The sequence below is a fragment of the Homo sapiens genome, chromosome 8 (genome assembly GCF_000001405.40).
Source record: "Homo sapiens chromosome 8, GRCh38.p14 Primary Assembly".
NCBI lineage: Eukaryota > Metazoa > Chordata > Mammalia > Primates > Hominidae > Homo > Homo sapiens.
Genome location: NC_000008.11, coordinates 141,286,905 through 141,303,197, shown reverse-complemented (window position 1 = coordinate 141,303,197; position 16,293 = coordinate 141,286,905). Strand labels below are relative to the sequence as shown.

The 16,293-nt window shown below is 52.6% G+C and overlaps 1 protein-coding gene across 15 annotated transcripts in view, besides 4 other annotated features; it reads left to right on the top strand.

Moving 5' to 3' along the window:
• SLC45A4 (solute carrier family 45 member 4) overlaps nt 1–16,293 on the top strand; it is a 101,115-nt gene that overhangs the window by 5,091 nt on the left and 79,731 nt on the right. Inside the window, exon 2 of one of the 15 annotated variants that reach the window (XM_047421997.1) lies at nt 3,053–3,799. The exons of 10 other annotated variants lie outside the window; for them this stretch is intronic. Coding sequence is in view for 1 of the 5 variants with exons in the window: in XM_047422004.1 (XP_047277960.1) it covers nt 3,748–3,799 (52 nt within the window). In the remaining 4 variants the exon portion in view is untranslated. Of the gene's footprint in view, nt 1–1,686; nt 3,800–16,293 lie in introns of those variants that run through there. 4 more of the 15 variants (XM_047422004.1, XM_047422005.1, XM_047422002.1 and 1 more) reach the window with 4 other exon arrangements.
• Nucleotides 1,707–2,555: an enhancer, noted in NCBI's record as "H3K4me1 hESC enhancer chr8:142310742-142311590 (GRCh37/hg19 assembly coordinates)". NCBI's record gives its function as "activates a minimal SCP1, AML or CMV promoter by ChIP-STARR-seq in primed H9 embryonic stem cells {active_cell/tissue: H9 hESC(primed)}" and the evidence as "EXISTENCE:reporter gene assay evidence [ECO:0000049][PMID:30033119]".
• Nucleotides 2,556–3,405: an enhancer, noted in NCBI's record as "H3K4me1 hESC enhancer chr8:142309892-142310741 (GRCh37/hg19 assembly coordinates)". NCBI's record gives its function as "activates a minimal SCP1, AML or CMV promoter by ChIP-STARR-seq in naive and primed H9 embryonic stem cells {active_cell/tissue: H9 hESC(naive and primed)}" and the evidence as "EXISTENCE:reporter gene assay evidence [ECO:0000049][PMID:30033119]".
• Nucleotides 3,448–4,154: an enhancer, noted in NCBI's record as "H3K4me1 hESC enhancer chr8:142309143-142309849 (GRCh37/hg19 assembly coordinates)". NCBI's record gives its function as "activates a minimal SCP1, AML or CMV promoter by ChIP-STARR-seq in naive H9 embryonic stem cells {active_cell/tissue: H9 hESC(naive)}" and the evidence as "EXISTENCE:reporter gene assay evidence [ECO:0000049][PMID:30033119]".
• Nucleotides 12,811–13,466: an enhancer, noted in NCBI's record as "H3K4me1 hESC enhancer chr8:142299831-142300486 (GRCh37/hg19 assembly coordinates)". NCBI's record gives its function as "activates a minimal SCP1, AML or CMV promoter by ChIP-STARR-seq in naive and primed H9 embryonic stem cells {active_cell/tissue: H9 hESC(naive and primed)}" and the evidence as "EXISTENCE:reporter gene assay evidence [ECO:0000049][PMID:30033119]".

The following is a 16,293-nucleotide window of genomic DNA, read 5'->3' as shown; positions in this document are numbered from 1 at the left end:
TGGCAAAACCCTGTCTCTATAAATACAAAAAAATTAGCCGGATGCGGTGTCTCACATCAGTGGTCCCAACTACTCGAGAGGCTGAGGCGGGAGGATTGCTGGAGCTCAGGAGGTCCAGGCTGCAGTGAGGGGAGATCACACCCACACTGCACTCCAGCTGGGGCAACAGAGTGAGACCCTGTCTCAAAAAAAAAAAAAAAAAAAGACATTGTAAGGCCAGAAAACAAGAAAATAAGAAAAAACAGAAAATAAGTTCCTTATCACCAACAATGTAGTCATCATTTTAGGGAAATACATTTATTCAAGAGCATGGTTTTTGGTTTGGTGTATATGGGAAGGGAATATTTTGTAAGTTTTTTGAGGGGAGGGGTTTGACATCTCCACGCTGGAGATGAAATCGCATATTAAGAGCATGTTAGACACGAGGCGAGGGGGACTGCCTGAGTATCGTAGAGGCAGCTTTTTCACTGTCAGTGATGAATGAATTAGGAATGTTTTAGAGTTACATTGCTGTCAAGCAAAGGCCTGAAAACATTTTTGCTTATGTGTTCTGTAAAATAACTTTACGCCTGCCGCGGTGGCTCATGCCTGTAATCCTAGCTCTTTGGGAGGCCAAGGTGAGTGGATCACCTGACGTCAGGAGTTCGAGACCAGCCTGGCCAACATGGCAAAACCATCTCTACTAAAAATACAAAAATTAGCCAAGTGTGGTGGTGCACGCCTATAATCCCAGCTACTTAGGAGGCTAAAGCACAAGAATGGCTTGAACCTGGGGGCAGGGGTGGGGTCGGGGGGAGGGAGGGCAGCGGGGATGGGGGTGGTGGTGGTGGTGGTGGTGATGGTGAGTGGCGTGGAGGTTGCAGTGAGCCAAGATTGCGCCACTTCACTCCAGCCTGAGCGAAAGAGCAAGCCTCTGTCTCCATCTAAAAAACAAAAAAAACTTTGAAAAACTATAGACACATTTTTAAGTTGATGTTTAAATTTTTGGTCCTAATTTGAAACAACTGCAAAAGATGCAATTTCTAGTATAATGTTGGCATTTAAAAGTAACCATTGTATTGCTTTTTAAAAAGTATCCAATGTTAAATATCCTAATGATACCTACCATCAGTCACCCTTTTAAAAAATGAACAAATTGTTCTTAACAGTCTTGACAAGGCAGTTTTTTTCTTTGTGAACTTGTATGTTTGCTCCATTTGAAAGTCTTTTCATCCCTCATTCTTTTTTTTCTTTTTTGAGACAGTGTTTCCCTCTGTCACCCAGGCTGGAGTGCAGTGGTGGGATCAGGGCTCGCTACAGCCTTGACCACCTAGGTCTATGCAATTCTCTCTCTCCAGCCTCCTGAGTAGCTGGGACCACAGGTGTATGCTATCATGCCCAGCTAGTTTTTATTTTTATTTTTTGCAGAGATGGGGTCTCACTGAGTTGCCCAGGATTTTTTTTTTTTTTTTTTTTTTTTTTTTGAGATAGGGTCTCATTCTGTCCCCCAGGCTGGAGTCCAGTGGTGAGATCATGGCTCACTGCAGCCTCGACCTCCCCGGCTCAAGTGATCCTCCCACCTCCACCCTCCAGGTAGCTGGGCTTATGCCCAGCTAATTTTTCTTTGTATTTTTGGCAGAGACAGAGTTTCACCATGTTGCCCAGGCCGGTCATGAACTCCTGGCCTCAAGCGACCCTCCCTCCTGCCTCAGGCTCCCAGAGTGCTGAGATTACAGGCATGAGCCACTGCACCCGACCTATGGACTGTTCTCCATACTTCTCTGTGACAAAAGTATATATTGCAATTTAAAACATTTCTGTGATCATTAGGCTATGTTAACATCCAGAAGAATGTTTTATGTCATTGTAATTATCAGTACAGAATTGATCACAGAAACATAAATATCATTGATCTTGATAAACAATTACTAAATGCACAAAATACACCGGAAGGAGGTCTCAAAGAGCTGGGGGGTGGGGCCCGTTTAAGGTGCCTTAATTAAAGGGATAATTGAACTGTCCCTGGTACCGGGTACATCTCTGTTGCTGGAACGTTCCCTGGGAAGAGTGCCTTCCTCTTGTCTAGGCGGGGCAGGCAGGCTGGAGGTGGGGGCTCCCTGGGCACCGGGACTTTCTCCACAGCAGCTTCTCAGGCAGTCCAGTTTTAGGCAGGCGTTTGTGGGGACCTTGCGGCTCTCTGAGTTCCCCACACCGGAGGCCCCTCAGGATGCTCCTGTGTTTGCACGGGGCGCTTGCTGTGCTGTGTTCGCACACTTGGTCCACGGGTAAGGTCCACGCCACTTCGTCGAGTCACGGGGTCCGTGCTGCTCCATGTTAAGCTTTACTATTTAATTGCCTGTTTTCTAAATGCGCAGTGTTAAAGGGCAGAAGATGAACCATTTCACGAGTAAGCACGCTGCGGCATTTTCATCTGGTTGGGCTAAAATGTAAGACAGTGGAATTGTGCCTCGGGTTAAATTTTAATTTGACAGAAAGGTGTGTTAGAAGCAGAGAAGACTGACATGGCCAGACTTTAGATTTGCTAGAGGTTTTTGCCTGGCAGGAATCTGGTCACCCTGCTCCGCCCTTCTTCCTGCACAGGGCATCGCTGTGCCTGTTCCGGAGCGAGGCAGCTGGTCTCAGGCCATCAGGTTGCCATTAGGATCAGGGCCATGGGGTGGGTTGGGAAGGTGGGCCTCTGCCCGAGAACCAGATGAGGCTGGTCCGGGGCGTTGACACTTGGCATCCCTGAGAATTTGCTCAAATCTGGAGATGCTCAAAAAGTAGAAAGATTTACTATTTTTAGCCTTTAGACCTAATGAAATTTGGTAAGAAAATCAGTTTAGTAACCAAAAAACCACCACTTCCCATCCCACTCAGAAACAGCACGCTGAGGACTGAGAGCAGTAGAACTTTGCGTTGTGTGATGGTTTTATGACATAAGAGGAGATTTGACGGACCTGGGGTCTCTGGTGTCTCCCAGCTTTGTTGGAGGAAAGCAGGCTACTCGCCCAACTCTGTGGAATCGGTAATGTGGGTCCGGCTGAAGTTTTAACCTGTCTTCTGTCCTCAGGGCTGGCCATTAGGAGTCCACTAAGAATGCGTCACTTCCAATTCGGCCATGCAGCTATTTGGGGAGGCGATGATGTCGTCAGATCATGGGGCCAGTGCCTTCATTCCAGGGATGGGTGAGGAGAAGAGCAGTTCCACGGTCGTGTTCTAGGAATCCTGCGGTTTAAACAGTGAAGAACGGGACCAGGAAGACAGGCCAGCCCCTAATTACCCCCACAGAACCGGATTAAATCACCCTGGAAAGGGGATCCTCCATTGGTCCCTTCTCCAAAGCAGCAAATCCTTATATTTTCGTGGTATTTTGGGTATTAATACTGAAATCAATGTTTCAGTCTCTTAAAAGACTTTGAGAAACGTTTTGGCTGCTGAAGAAGAACAGGTACAGCAGAGTCCAGCTGGTTCTAGAAATTCCTGCCCTAACCTGAGGCTTTACTTCAGTATGCAAATCCGCTCCCAGCCAGGAGTACTAGAATAACTGCTAGTGGTTTTTTTCGTGTTGCTTACGTAAAACGGCATTAAAAGCTTGGAGTGTGGAAGTCCTCCCCCATCAGGGCCTGCGCACCACCACCCTCTGCTGGATGAAGCCGGATCCCGGGGCTGCGGCCACGGCCGCTCTGCTGTCCCTAACCGTGCCCATTTGAAGGGCAGCTCTGATTTGGTGGCGAGAACGACACCCACAGCTCAGGTGGTCTTGTTATGGACTTGCAGCCTGGAGCTGGTGTCTCTAGTGTGACAGGTGTCTCCCTAGGTAAGCCGAAGGGAATATCAAGGCTGTTGAAAACATGTCTAGTCCACTACTGAACTATTGAGGTGTCGAGAGTGTTTTTAATTCTTAAAGGCACGGGGCTCCCCGTCCGCTTTCTCCTTCCGTAGAAACATCATGAAGCCTGGCGTCCTCGTTGTGGGTGGGGTGCAGGGAGAGTTTATAGTCCGGGCTGGGCCCTCCTTGGCTTTGTGACCTTCCAGAAGCCACCCAGTGCTCGGAGCTTCTGCTTCCGTGTGGTAACCAGGGTGTGTGAGGGGTTTCTGTCTCCAGCACTCAGTAAGCGCCTGAGAAGGGGTCACAGCAGCACTCACGCTGCTAGACAGTGCGGCATCTGCATCCGTGCCGGGCGCCCAGCTGGGACCTCTGGAGCAGCGCCTGGTGGGGGCACTGGTGAGGGAGAGGAGCCACCGGATACGGCCGGCCTAGTGCAGTTGTGGGCCACTGGGTCGCACTGCTCATCAGCTCCCCCCACCCCCCACTGAAAAGTGCCGTTTGTCTTCTGCGTGGAGAAATGCAGCAGTGCCCTCCATGCCTTGGATTCGACTTTGAGGCACCTTTGCGGTCACTCCCCATGCCAGGTAGCTGCTGCTGGAGGGGGCTCTGTGGCCAGCCCTGCTGTTGGCCCACGCAGCATGCTAGTTCCCACACCCCTCCTCCCTGGCCAAGAGCTTGGAAGGAAGGACTCCTGGCTGCCACAGGTATGGGCAGCTGTGCCCAGCTGGCACTGCCCTCTGGGTTGGCTCCCTGGCTCCTGCGGAGGTCAGGGAGGAGGTGCTGCCGCTCCAATTTGTTTCCTTGTTTCTTTCGGGTTGGCCACTTGGCTTGCTGGGTTGAGCCTTTGGTGCCCAATTTTGCCCTCTTGTTGGGCACTGTCACTAGGCTCAGACTGTGAGCTAGCAGGGGACTGGGCCTGCTGTGGTATGTTCCATTCTGGAGATGGTCCCCAGGTGGCTGCTCAGTGCCAGGCTCAAGGCAGGTGCCTGAGAAGACAGCCATCTGGCCAGGGTGATGGGGCAGGCCTGGGAACCCCGAGGAGGGCATCTGACCCATGGCTGGGTGCGGAAAACGTCTGAGCAGGTAGTCCTTGAAAGAAACAGAATGTTCTTCTTAAAAACTTCTTACTGTGGTTGTTTTGAGACATGCCTAAAAGTAGTGAAAATAGTGTAATCGTGTTATCCCCAGATTCATCACCCGTTAGCAATTCTGTTGACTCTCACTAGTCTTTGAACTGAGTTTTAAAGGACATGGCCTGTGGGATGAAGGGAAGGGCTTTGCAGAAAGAGCCTGGGGAGTGTGGACACGGGGGATGGTGGGCCAGTCGGGCTTGCCGCAGGGCTGTCGCACAGCAGGTGGGCCTCCCGGGCAGCGCTGTGGCCCACCATCCACAGCTGGAGTGAGAAGCTGGGTGAACAGTCACATGGAGAAGGTTTTTTGTTTTTTTTTTTGCAATTTTGGGTGTCATGTCCTTCTCTTTAATACTGTGGCTGTGTGTGAGAAAAATCTTGCTAACTTTTCCTGAAATGAAATGAGGTAATGTTTAAAGCTAATCAAATTTAAAATAAAATTGGAACAGTTTTTTTCAACAAGTGAACTAGCCAGTGGCAGTTTTGCTAATTCAAAAATCTATGCAAAAAGAAGAAAGCATTTTGCCATTTCCTAGATCTCTGCAAATGGAAAGTCCACAGGTGCAGGCTGTGTGTGGCATGGCCACTGGCCGGGCTGTCAGTCCCGGGTTGGTTCCTGACAGTTCGTGCCATCTCTGCAGCAGCCAGGCTGTGTGCTGATAAGGGCCCGTGGCTGGTGCCAGTTTGTGGTTGTAAAGTTCAGATAGGTTTTTGATTAAGTTTTCTGGGTCTGTGGGAGAGCCTGGAAGCCCTGTAAATGCAGGCTGTGGTTTCTGCCTGGTGATGATAGGGTTCTGGGAAATAGATTTTAAACATTTCCATGTGGATTTTCTCCTGATCCCCTCAGAGCCTTGTCCATCTGGGGATTTATTTTTGCCCACACAGTTCTGCTTCGGCTTAGCGGGCCTTAGGCGTGGACCCCAGGCCTACCTCCCCCGCCAGCATCCACTTGCCGCATTGCCAGGCAGAGTGCCCGGCGCCCACCGGGTGCCCGCCTCTTCTTGGTGGAGCCCTGTTGCATTTGGCTTTAATAACTCAGAGGGGAAGGCAGCCAGGGAGCTGCCTGTGCTTCCTGAAGCACCAAGTGGATGGTGTAGAGAAGAACCAGAGGAAGCAGTTTCTGACCCTCCTCCCAAGGCCCTCACTGGTGTTTCTGGTTCAGTGTGGCAAACCTGGGGGGGACTCAGTAACTTAGGGTGGTCAGACTGCTTCAAACACGTACCGTAGACCAGGTGGCTTTGCAACAACAAAGATTTCTTTCTCAAGTTCTGGAGGCTGGAAGGCCAAGAACAAGGCACAGGCAGGTTGGTGTCTCCTGAGGACCCATTTCTTGGTTCAAACATCGCCCCTTCTTGCTCTGTCTTCATATGATAAAGGGCGTGAGGGTCTTTCCCTCCACTTTTTTTTTTTTTTTTTTTTTGGCAATGGAGTCTCGCTGTGTCACCCAGGCTGGAGTATAGTGGCATGATCTCGGCTCACTGCAACCTCTGCCTCGTGGGTACAAGCGATTCTCCTGCCTCAGCCTCCTGAGTAGCTGGGACCACAGGTGTGCGCCACCACACCCAGCTAATTTTTGTATTTTTAATAGGGATGGGGTTTCACCATGTTGGCCAGGCTGGTCTTGAATTCCTAACCTCAGGTGATCCACCCACCCCAGCCTCCCAAAGTGCTAGGATTACTGGCGTGAGCCACCACGCCTGGCCTTCTTTTTTTTTTTAATTTTAATTTTAATTTTAATTTTTTTTTTTTTTTTTTTAAGAAATGAGGTCTTGCTCTGTCACCCAGGCTGGAGTGCAGCAGTGCAATCATAGCTCACTACAGCTTGAATTCCTGGGCTGAAGCCATCTTCCTGCCTCAGCCTCCTGAGTAGCTGGGACTACAGGCGTGTGCCACCATGCCCGGCTAATTTATTACTGTTTTTTGAAACAGGGTCTCACTCTGTTGCCCAGGCTAAAGTGCAGTGGGCAACTGCACTTCAACTCACTGCAACCTCTGCCTCCTGGATTGAAGCGATTCTCGTGCCTCAGCCTCCTGAGTAGCTGGGATTGCAGGTATGAACCACCATGTCTGGCTAATTTTTGTATTTTTAGCACGGACCAGGTTTCACTGTGTTGGCCAGGCTGGTCTCAAACTCCTGGCTTCCTGTGATCCGCCCACCACAGCCTCCCAAAGTGTTGGATTACAGGCGTCAGCCACTGTGCCCTGCTAATTTTAAATATTTTTATATAGGGAGGGTCTCACCATGTTGCCCAGGCTGGAAGCCTGTTTCCTAGGGGCCAGGCTTGGATGGTGGTCTTGTCGGGCTGACCCCGGGCTGTGGACACCTTGTCCCTTTGTGCCAGAGGGGCAAGGGCTCCAGCACCAAAGCCAGGGAGCCTCTGACCTTACGAGATGAGCTCCGCACCATCCTGGGCGGTGCAGGGCTGCTGGCTGCTGGGGCACTCAAGGCCTTCAGCCTTGAGAAGTTGTTTTTTCTCATCACGTTCACTCAACCAGGGTAACCTTCCCAGGTGCTTCCAGCCTCTGGAGACCTTTCAGACTGATGTTGGGTTCCGAGTGGTCAATCGAGGGGCCTCAGTCAGTGCTGCCGTGGGGCAGTTCAGGGAGATGGAGTTGCTTGTGGAGCCGTTTACCCTGTTTTCTGCGTCCCCCTGGGTGCTGTGTTGTGGAAGTGGGTGTTCCAGACCAGCTTCTTTGCATCTTAGATGCCTTCACGTCATTGCAGAAGGGATTTCCTTATACCTGTCCCCTGCTGAGTGCGGTAGTTCCTGATAACACTTAAACTTTCAATGTTAATAGCCCTGTGATGCGCTGTTATCTCCATTTTAAAAAGAGAGAGATCTTCATGGAGGAACTGAGCCTAACTTGAAGGTGGCGGCCCTGGGAGTTCCGCCTGGTGCCCTTGGGCTCTTCCTGCCAGGACTGGGAGGTCCTGCAGAGATTGGATCCTGGTGCCTCTCTCAGGGGCCTGGGGCAGATCTCTAATTTCTCTGAGCCCCAGGGCCCCACCCATAAAGCAGGTGTGGTCCCAGCTTCCCTCCTGCTTTCCCTTCACCCACAGGGGCTGCCTTCCCTGGCTCACATGCCTCCAGCCTGTGGCAGCTCCTCTCTGACCACACAGCGCTGCTTCCTCCTGTCCAGTGTGTGTTCTCACTTCCCTCTCTGGAATGTCCACACCCCTCTGCCAACCCAAGACAGACAGGCCTGCCCGCAGCTCTCTCCTGAAGTCCAGTGGGAGGACTGTCCCCGGAGAACCTGGGGAACCTGCTGCCCCCACTCTGCCGGGTGTGAATGCTCCATTACCTGCCAGTTCCTGACTCACTTTCCTCACCTTCGAGCTGAGGCTGCCACTTGGGAGTGCCCTGGGAGCCCCCAGAGGGTTAGATGAGGCCTAGGTTTGGCATTGGCCCTTGGTGGGCTCTGCAAGTGGTGACTTAGGAGCTGATTCCCTCCCAGGGTGCCTCCCTCCCAGGGGTCCCGCACCAACTGGGCCTGGGGCTCAGCACCGCCGCTCCCCTCTCTTGTGCTGCCCTCTGTCTTCACATGTGTGTTTCTCCTGCCATGCTGGCTGGTGGCCCCCATTTAGCATGCATGGGTTCCCCGGGACGTGGGTTGCCACGTTGAGCTCACAGCCGTTCCTGCCACAGGAGTGCTGGTGCAGTTCCACTGCTCACAGGGAACTGGCTGTGAGGGGACCGCTCTGGGGAGGCCTCATGGGGCTCCACAGTCCCAGCCTTGGACCAGCAGGGACCGTGTGTCCCAGCAAGCCTCAGGCCAGCCTTGTCCCCACTGGCCATCTGCCTGCAGTGCTACCTTGGAATTGGGTTGGTGAGGCGGGGGCTGGGGTCAGGGCTGCCTCTGCTGACCTCCTGCTCTGCTTCTAGGCAGGGGCTGGCCCCGGTGCACGTTCCCTCTGCACGCACTGGTCCCTCCCGATGCGGCTTGTTCATTCACAGCAGGCGTTGACTGAGACCTGCTTCTGTCCAGCCACCCTGACCAGTCGCTGTGGGTTTTCTCAGGTGGCACATTGTCCCCAGGAAGCTCAGGCAGGGTCCCTCGGTTGGCCCTGGGGGAGTGCTATGCTAACAGTACACAGAGACCCTGGTCCACGGAGACCCTGGTCTACAGAGATCCTGGGCCACGGACTCAGGTCCTCCTGGTCTGCAGCGTGGTGTGCCCAAGGGTCTTCTTTTTGCTCCCAGCTGGCCTGAATCCCCAAACCAGATGTCTCAACCCTTGTTCAAACCATTTTTTCTCACTTTTTCTTCTGTAGATCTTTACCGCGGATGATTTTTTTTTTTTACATTTACTTTTTTTTTTTCTTGAGATAGAGTCTCGCTCTGTTGCCCAGGCTGGAGTGCAGCGACACTATCTCGGCTCACTGCAACCTCCACCTCCAAGGTTCAAGCCATTCTTGTGCCTCAGCCTCCCAAGTAGCTGGGAGTACAGGTGTGCACCACCACGCCCAGCTGATTTTTGTACTTTTAGTAGAGACGGGGTTTCACCATGTTTGCCAGGCTGGTTTCAAACTCCCAACCTCAGGCAATCTGCCCGCCTCGGCCTCCCAAAGTGTTAGGATTACAGGCATGAGCCACTGCTCCCGGTCTGTTTCCATTTTTTGATTGCAGAGAAGTTTTGTACACAGAAAATGCATTTCCGAGCATGCCTTCCCCCTTGTCCCAACACTCTAAGCTAAGCTCAAAGGCAGACATTGCCACACTGTCTTCAGTGGAACTTTGCGGATTCCACCCTGCACTTTGTACAGTGCCATTGCCGTGCATTTTATTTTCTTTTTTTTTCTTCGAGACGGAGTCTCATTCTGTTGCCCAGGCTGGAGTGCAGTGGCGTGATCTGGGTTCACTGCAATCTCTGCCTACTGGGTTTGAGTGATTCTCTTGCCTCAGCCTCCCAAGTAGCTGGGATTACAGGCACCTGCCACCACTCCTGGCTAGTTTTTTGTATTTTTAGTAGAGATGGGGTTTCACCATGTTGGCCAGGCTGGTCTCGAACCCCTGACCTCATGATCCACCTGCCTCAGCCTCCCAAAGTGCTGGGATTACAGGTGTGAGCCACTGCGCCCGGCCGCATTTTCTTTTTCACTTTGTGGGCTTGAGGAAGCAGGTGGCTGTAGTCACAGTGAACTGCTGGCGTGCATTACGTAGGCCCACGCATCCAGCCTCAGTAGGGGGGTGGGGGAGGATGGTGCTGTCCTCGAGTCACCATGCATGTGGGTGTCCAATCCCCATTTCCGATGACTGACCTGTAATCTGGGCCCTAGGGGGTATGTAGGCCCCTTGCCTGAGTGTCCCAGAGTCAGGCATCTGCGCACTCATCTGTCCTGCAGTTTAGAGCCAGCTTCAAGGCTGATGGTTCTAGTCTTGATTTGTTAACAAGCTGATGGAGAACTTCTTAGAGCCAGCCCTTCATCAGCGTTGATAGGGTGTGGTTTTTGTCGCTGACACCTTCAGTGACCCATGAAGACTGTGTATGCCTGTGTGTGTTGTGGAGCGATGTTAGTTGCTGTGTCAGTCAGGTCCTCGTGTTACCAGGCGGCAAGTGGCACCTGCAAGGAGAGAGAGAGAGGAGGCAGTGGAAGGACTGGACCGAGGGTCGGGCAGGGCTGAGGGACACCAGCAAGGAGGGGTGAAGCCTCATGCTGCTGCTTCCACTCCAGGCCCAAGGGGCACACGGAGGGAGCTGTTACTGGAACCCCCCAAGAGAGCAGGGGTGCAGGAGCGGGCCGCAGCCTTCCGAGGAGGGACCCGAGGAGCCTGTGTGCTTGGCCAGCCTCCCGCCCTGGGCGCGTGCGGGGCTCTGTGCTCCACGGCCTCCTTGTGTGGTTCCCTGTTGGGTGGGAGCTGTGGCCATAAGTTTACGGTAACTTAGAGCCTTGGGGAGGGAGCAGAAGTCTGTGTCGGCCCACATAGCTGAGGAACCTGAGCCCAGAGTGGGCCCAGTGTGCCACGTGGCCTGAGCCCACAGCTGGATTGGCGGGCCCAGAATGCCGCGTGCCCTGGTCGGGGATGTATGCAGGTCTCCTGAGTGTGAGCCGTTTTCTCCTGTGAGAACCTGCCCCAGGTTGTGCATGGACACCCGCTTGTCTGCCGTGTGCAGCTTCGAGGCAGCTCCAGGGCGGTGAGGGGCGGGGAGTAGGGCCGTGAGGTCTGGTTTCTCTGTGCTGTGATACCTAAGTTAGCGCATGGCCTCCCAGCACCAGGCACGCAGGAGCAGCAGCTCTGAGGGCCAACGCGGTGGCCAGACCCCAGAATCTGAGGGTTGAGCGGTAGTGTCCCAGCCGCTTCTTTGAACCTAACATGCAGATGAGATGAACGTTTTATCTGGAGGACGGCCTGTGCTTTGGTTATGAAATGTGAAACCAGTATTTTGCTGTTTTTTTCTAGCTCAGTCTTTCCTTGGCTGGGTCTGTCCTGGGTTACTTTTCAAAATGCATGAGTTAACACCTATACAGAGGGTTCACAACAAGCTCACACTGCCCTGGCAAGCCACGCCAGTAACATTGACCCAGGGACTCCACTCCAGACACCACTGCTCGCCTGATTTGTTTTATTTGACAGATGCCAGTAGTTTTACCTGTAGTCGTTCATACGTTTGTCCATTCCTCTTGGATCAGTTCTAGAAAATGTGGTTTGACTGTTACTTTCTGACATCACCAAGTACGTGTTTGATGAGCTTCAGAAAATAGCTCTGTAGTGATCTGCGCTGTTACTTATAGCTTTTCCTAAACTTAGAATCTATTTTCCTTTGTTTCTATTTGCCCCCCCTTTTTTGTTTTGGTATGAACCTAAATTGCCCAACTAAATTCTGAAGTAAACTACAAAAGGGAGGACTGATTTAAAAAAAAATTATGAGAAGATAATAACCACATCACAACAAAAATTCCTTTGGCCAGTTAGATGAACGCGTGTGTGTCCCCCAGCCCTCTTTCTCCAGACTGGGCTGGTTCTCTATCTTTTCTGGGTCATGGATTCCTTTGGAGATGTGGTGAAAGCTGTAAACTTGTTCTCACAAAAATGCAAATAGATGCAATTTTGTATACAGTTTAGGGAGTGTTTTGCCAGTGCGGTGGCTCATGCCTGTAATTCCAGCACTTTGGGAGGCTGAGGTGGGTGGATCACCCCCAGCACTTTGGGAGGCCAAGGTGGGCGGATCACTTGAGGTCAGGAGTTTGAGACCAGCCTGGCCAACATGGTGAAACCCCGTCTCTACTAAAAATACAAAAATTAGCCCGGCATGGTGGCAGGCACCTGTAATCCCAGCTACTTGGAAGGCTGAGGCAGGAGAATCGCTTGAGCCCAGGAGGCGGAGGTTACAGTGAGCTGAGATCGCACCACTGCACTCCAGCCCGGGTGACAGAGTGAGACCCAGTCTCAAACAAAACAAAACAAAACAATTTAGGTGTTGTTTATGTGTGTCCAGGAAAGATCCTCCCCAGGCCCCCCCGCCACATCCCTGCAGTCTCTGGACCGTAGGGTAAGACCACACGCAGCGTGGGCTGCCTGGTCTGTCTCTGGACCCAAGGACAACGTGCTTGACCTGGTCGTTCATGGGAGCTGTGTTTGGCAGCCCTGGAGGAGGGCGGCCTGGTTTCATCCCCAGTGGAGATAAATCCCAAGGGTGGCTGTCCTCACGCCTGGGTTGTTGTGTTTCATGTCGTTGTCATGACCGAAACTGGCCGAATTTGCAGAGTGACTGGAACGCTGCCATGGTGGTGGCATGAACACCTCATATTTACTTTGTGGGGAAACATCAGGTAGTTAAAATTAGCAGTGAGCACCACGGAAAGTCAAGGTTGTCCAAAAGAATTGTGCAATGTCACATTGAGAAATGTGGCAGAGATAAGACTTGGCAGCGTTGGAGTGGCGGGTGGAATTCTCAACCCTGAGCCCAGCCTGAGTGGGAGGGCCGGGCTTGGAGCTGCGGCACTTGGGGCCTTTCTGCCGGTGCCGAGGAGTCCTGGAGAGGAGCCTGGGGTCAGATACCTGCACGTGTGGTGAGCTCACAGCCAGATGTGCACCACGCACTTAAAAAAAATAGATTCCTTTATATACAGTGCAGTGTTAGATGACCGTAGATGTAGATCATGTATAATATATACATACATACGTGTATATATTATATATGGACATGTATAATTATACATATGATGTATAATGATAGTACTGTCTAGCATAATGTAACATAATATGTTTTTTGCTTTTTACTTCTTTAAAGTTCTTTGTAGGGCGATGTCTGGGTGTTGGAGTTCTCTGCTAGCTCATTTTCCCTGCTGAGGTGAGGGACTGCATGCTTTGTAGGGGACTGAGATCTGGGATCTGAAGCTGTAGGGCTGGGGGCACCTCGCTCCAGTGTCCGGGGCCTCCAGGGCAGAGTTGGCTCTTGGTGGGCTCCTAGTGCTGAGGACTTGGAGGGTGGTGAGGCCTTGCCTTACCTGGAGTGCTCCCTGGGCTGGGCTGGAAGACCCCGGGCCATGGGCTTTCTCTAGCCCTCACTCCAGGCCTCCCTGAGCCCCCCTCTGCAGAGGCCACAGCCGCAGGGGACCCCTGAAGGTCCCTCTGGCCCCTGACCTCTTAGCTTCTCTTACTACAGGAAGCTGACCCTTTCCAGCATGGCGTCCACCGGAGTAGGAAGCCAGCTTCTCAGCAGGCCAGCCGGCTCTTCTCCGCCCAAGGAAAACCCAGTCATACCCATTTGTACAAATCGCCTCTCTGCACTCTTCAAATAAAACTGATAATTCTCAGCAATCTGTTTCCCATCTGGAGCCCTGAAAGATTAGAATCCTTGTTTGAATGCTGAGCCACGGTTGAGATAACATCTTTGTGACTCTTAGACTTCACTCCAGATGACTGTCTGTCATAGATGGAAGGGGTGAGTGAGTTAAGGGGAACTAAGGCGTGGAACTTAGGTTTTTGATCAGTGTAGGATTTAATGTCTTTCACTAAAAAGGACAAAAGTACAACCCCTGTTGGCTCCGAGTCTCCCAAGCAGCAGCCCTGTTTCTCACTCCTTCTCGAAAGTGCAGTGTGCACTCCCCCGCCATCCCCGCCTCTGCCCCTTCTGCTCTCGCCCTGGCCTCTGTGCCCACTGTTCCCTGGCACCGCCTTCTCCGATCATCCTCTTCCCCAGGCCCTGACTCCATCGCGCACCTGGCTGGTTTCATGGCCGGCTGAGGCCCTGCTTATTCCTCTGGGACCACATCTCTGCCTCTGCCTCCCTCTTGGGAGCTGGGTTCCTTTCCTGGACCTCTTTTCCCACCCACGCCGAAGGATTAGCGCCTCGATGGTACTGACTCATCTCTGACTGCAGTCCAGACTGCTCCCCAAGTTCTTCTGCTGTGCCAGCTGCCTGGCCATCTGCATTTGGACGGGGAGTCCCACAGAAAATGTGGCTGCACGGGGACTTGTGCCCCTTGCCCTCGTCTTCCTGTCATCTTTCCCAACCCAGCAGTGGCTCTGCATGAAGTAGCCAGGGCCGGCACCCTCCGTGAGTGCCCCAAGAGCATAGGTTCCATCCAGTCCCTGCTGTGTGTCCAGCACAGACCTCAGGCAGTGTGACCCCGCTCACTGCAGCTTGCTGGGCCCTGGCTGCCTCAGTCCTGCAGGACAGGACAGTGCCATAGTCAGTACACAGGTCCCTGGCTGTGTGAAGTAGGCCTGTAGGAGAAATTCCTGTGTGTAGACTAGCTGGGCTCCAGAAGATCTAACTTGGTGGGGCAAGAGAAGTGTGCTTCTCATGAGCGGTCCAACCAGGCGTGGTCCCCATCAGACACGGTCAGGGCTTTTGCCTGGAGCCTTGTCCCGTGGTGGGTCACTCTGTCGTATGTGAAAATGTGGCGTACCGATGCGCTTGCAATTTGCATTTCTCTTACTGGACGTGAGCTTGAACACCCCTAAGTGCCATTTGCATCTCCTTTTCTGTGAACTTTCTGTTTCTGGTGTTTGTGTGTTTTGCACTGAGCGGCCAGCCTTCTGCAGGTTTTGAATGAGCTGCACAAGGGCAGCCCTCGAGGCTCTGAAGGGCAGCGTGAATATGAATTCCCAGCCTGTCTTAAAAAATTTAAGACATACTCAAGCCTGTCGCCCAGGCTGGAGTGCAGTGTAGTGGCAGGATCATGGTTCATTGCAGCCTAAAACTCCTGGACTCAAGCGATCCTCCCACGTCAGCCTCCCAAAGTGCAGGGATTACAGATGTGAGCCACCACCAAAAAGGAGGCTGTTGACATGACATAGGCTTGAAAGGGGCAAGGAGGGTGGGAGAAACGTGGGGGTCGGTGCAAAGCCGTCTAGTCCCCCTCGGTGGCTGGGCGCAAGAGGGTACGAGATGGAGCTGCTCCTTCTCTGAGCCCCGTCTTCCTCCAGGTGCCCCTGGCCCGGGCCCTCCTGTGTGCTACCCTGTGGACTGTGCCCTGGGAGGTCTGAGAGCCGTCTCCTCACCGCCCCACTGAGGCCCGTCTGCAGATGCTGGAGATTCTAGCTGTTCCACCCGGCTGCCTGCTTCTGCCCAGCAGAGAGCCTGCTGTACCTTGGCAGCTCTTGAACGGGGTGGCAGGTGAAAGGAGGCACTTTTCACCTGTTATGGCCTAAAGCATTCTCTCGCTAGACTGAAAAGATGCCGCACAGAAGATCCTTTTAAGCTAAATACATGCTAGTGTTCACAGAAAAGACAGTACTCAACTGTCTGTAATTGTCCAGTCAGCCAAGGAGGCCAGAAGCCCAGCGTCCTGGCCATGGAAATGGGAAACTCCAGACTTGCCGTGAAGGGTTAACGAGGGACTTTGGGGAGAAGGCCGGTCTGTGGCAGGGGCACAGTCTGCGCTCCGTGCCCTGCGTGTGGGTTATTTCCTCTTGTGAAAACACCTGTAGTATCCAGGTGACCTCACCTATCAGAGCATCAGAGCAGCTGAGTCACGATGCTGTAGTTAGTATCCGCCGGGAGAGGTTTTCATAGCTGCGGTTATGTCTTCTGCCTGTTAAAATCAGTCTTTTGAAGAAAGCATGAGCTGTGCTGAGTTTATAGTCTGTTTATTATAGGTTGCTGCTGGGCTCTGAAGGCCTCTCTCTCATGATGATACACACACCTTCGTGTGTGGTTTTCAGTTGTAGAATGAAAGCGTGTAGAAGTGGAAGGAACCGGGAAGTGCTCTGTTCACACCCTAAGGCCTCGCACATGACCTGGAGCGGTCAGGCGACTTCCTCAAGGTCACACGGTGCTTGGTCGGCCTCAGATGTTTTCTGATAGTCTTAGGATTTGGTGATAAAAATACTAACTTGGATGAGTTCAGGAGGGAGCCCCGTGGCCGCCAGCAAGAGAACTCTGCAGCTCCTCCCCACTGCA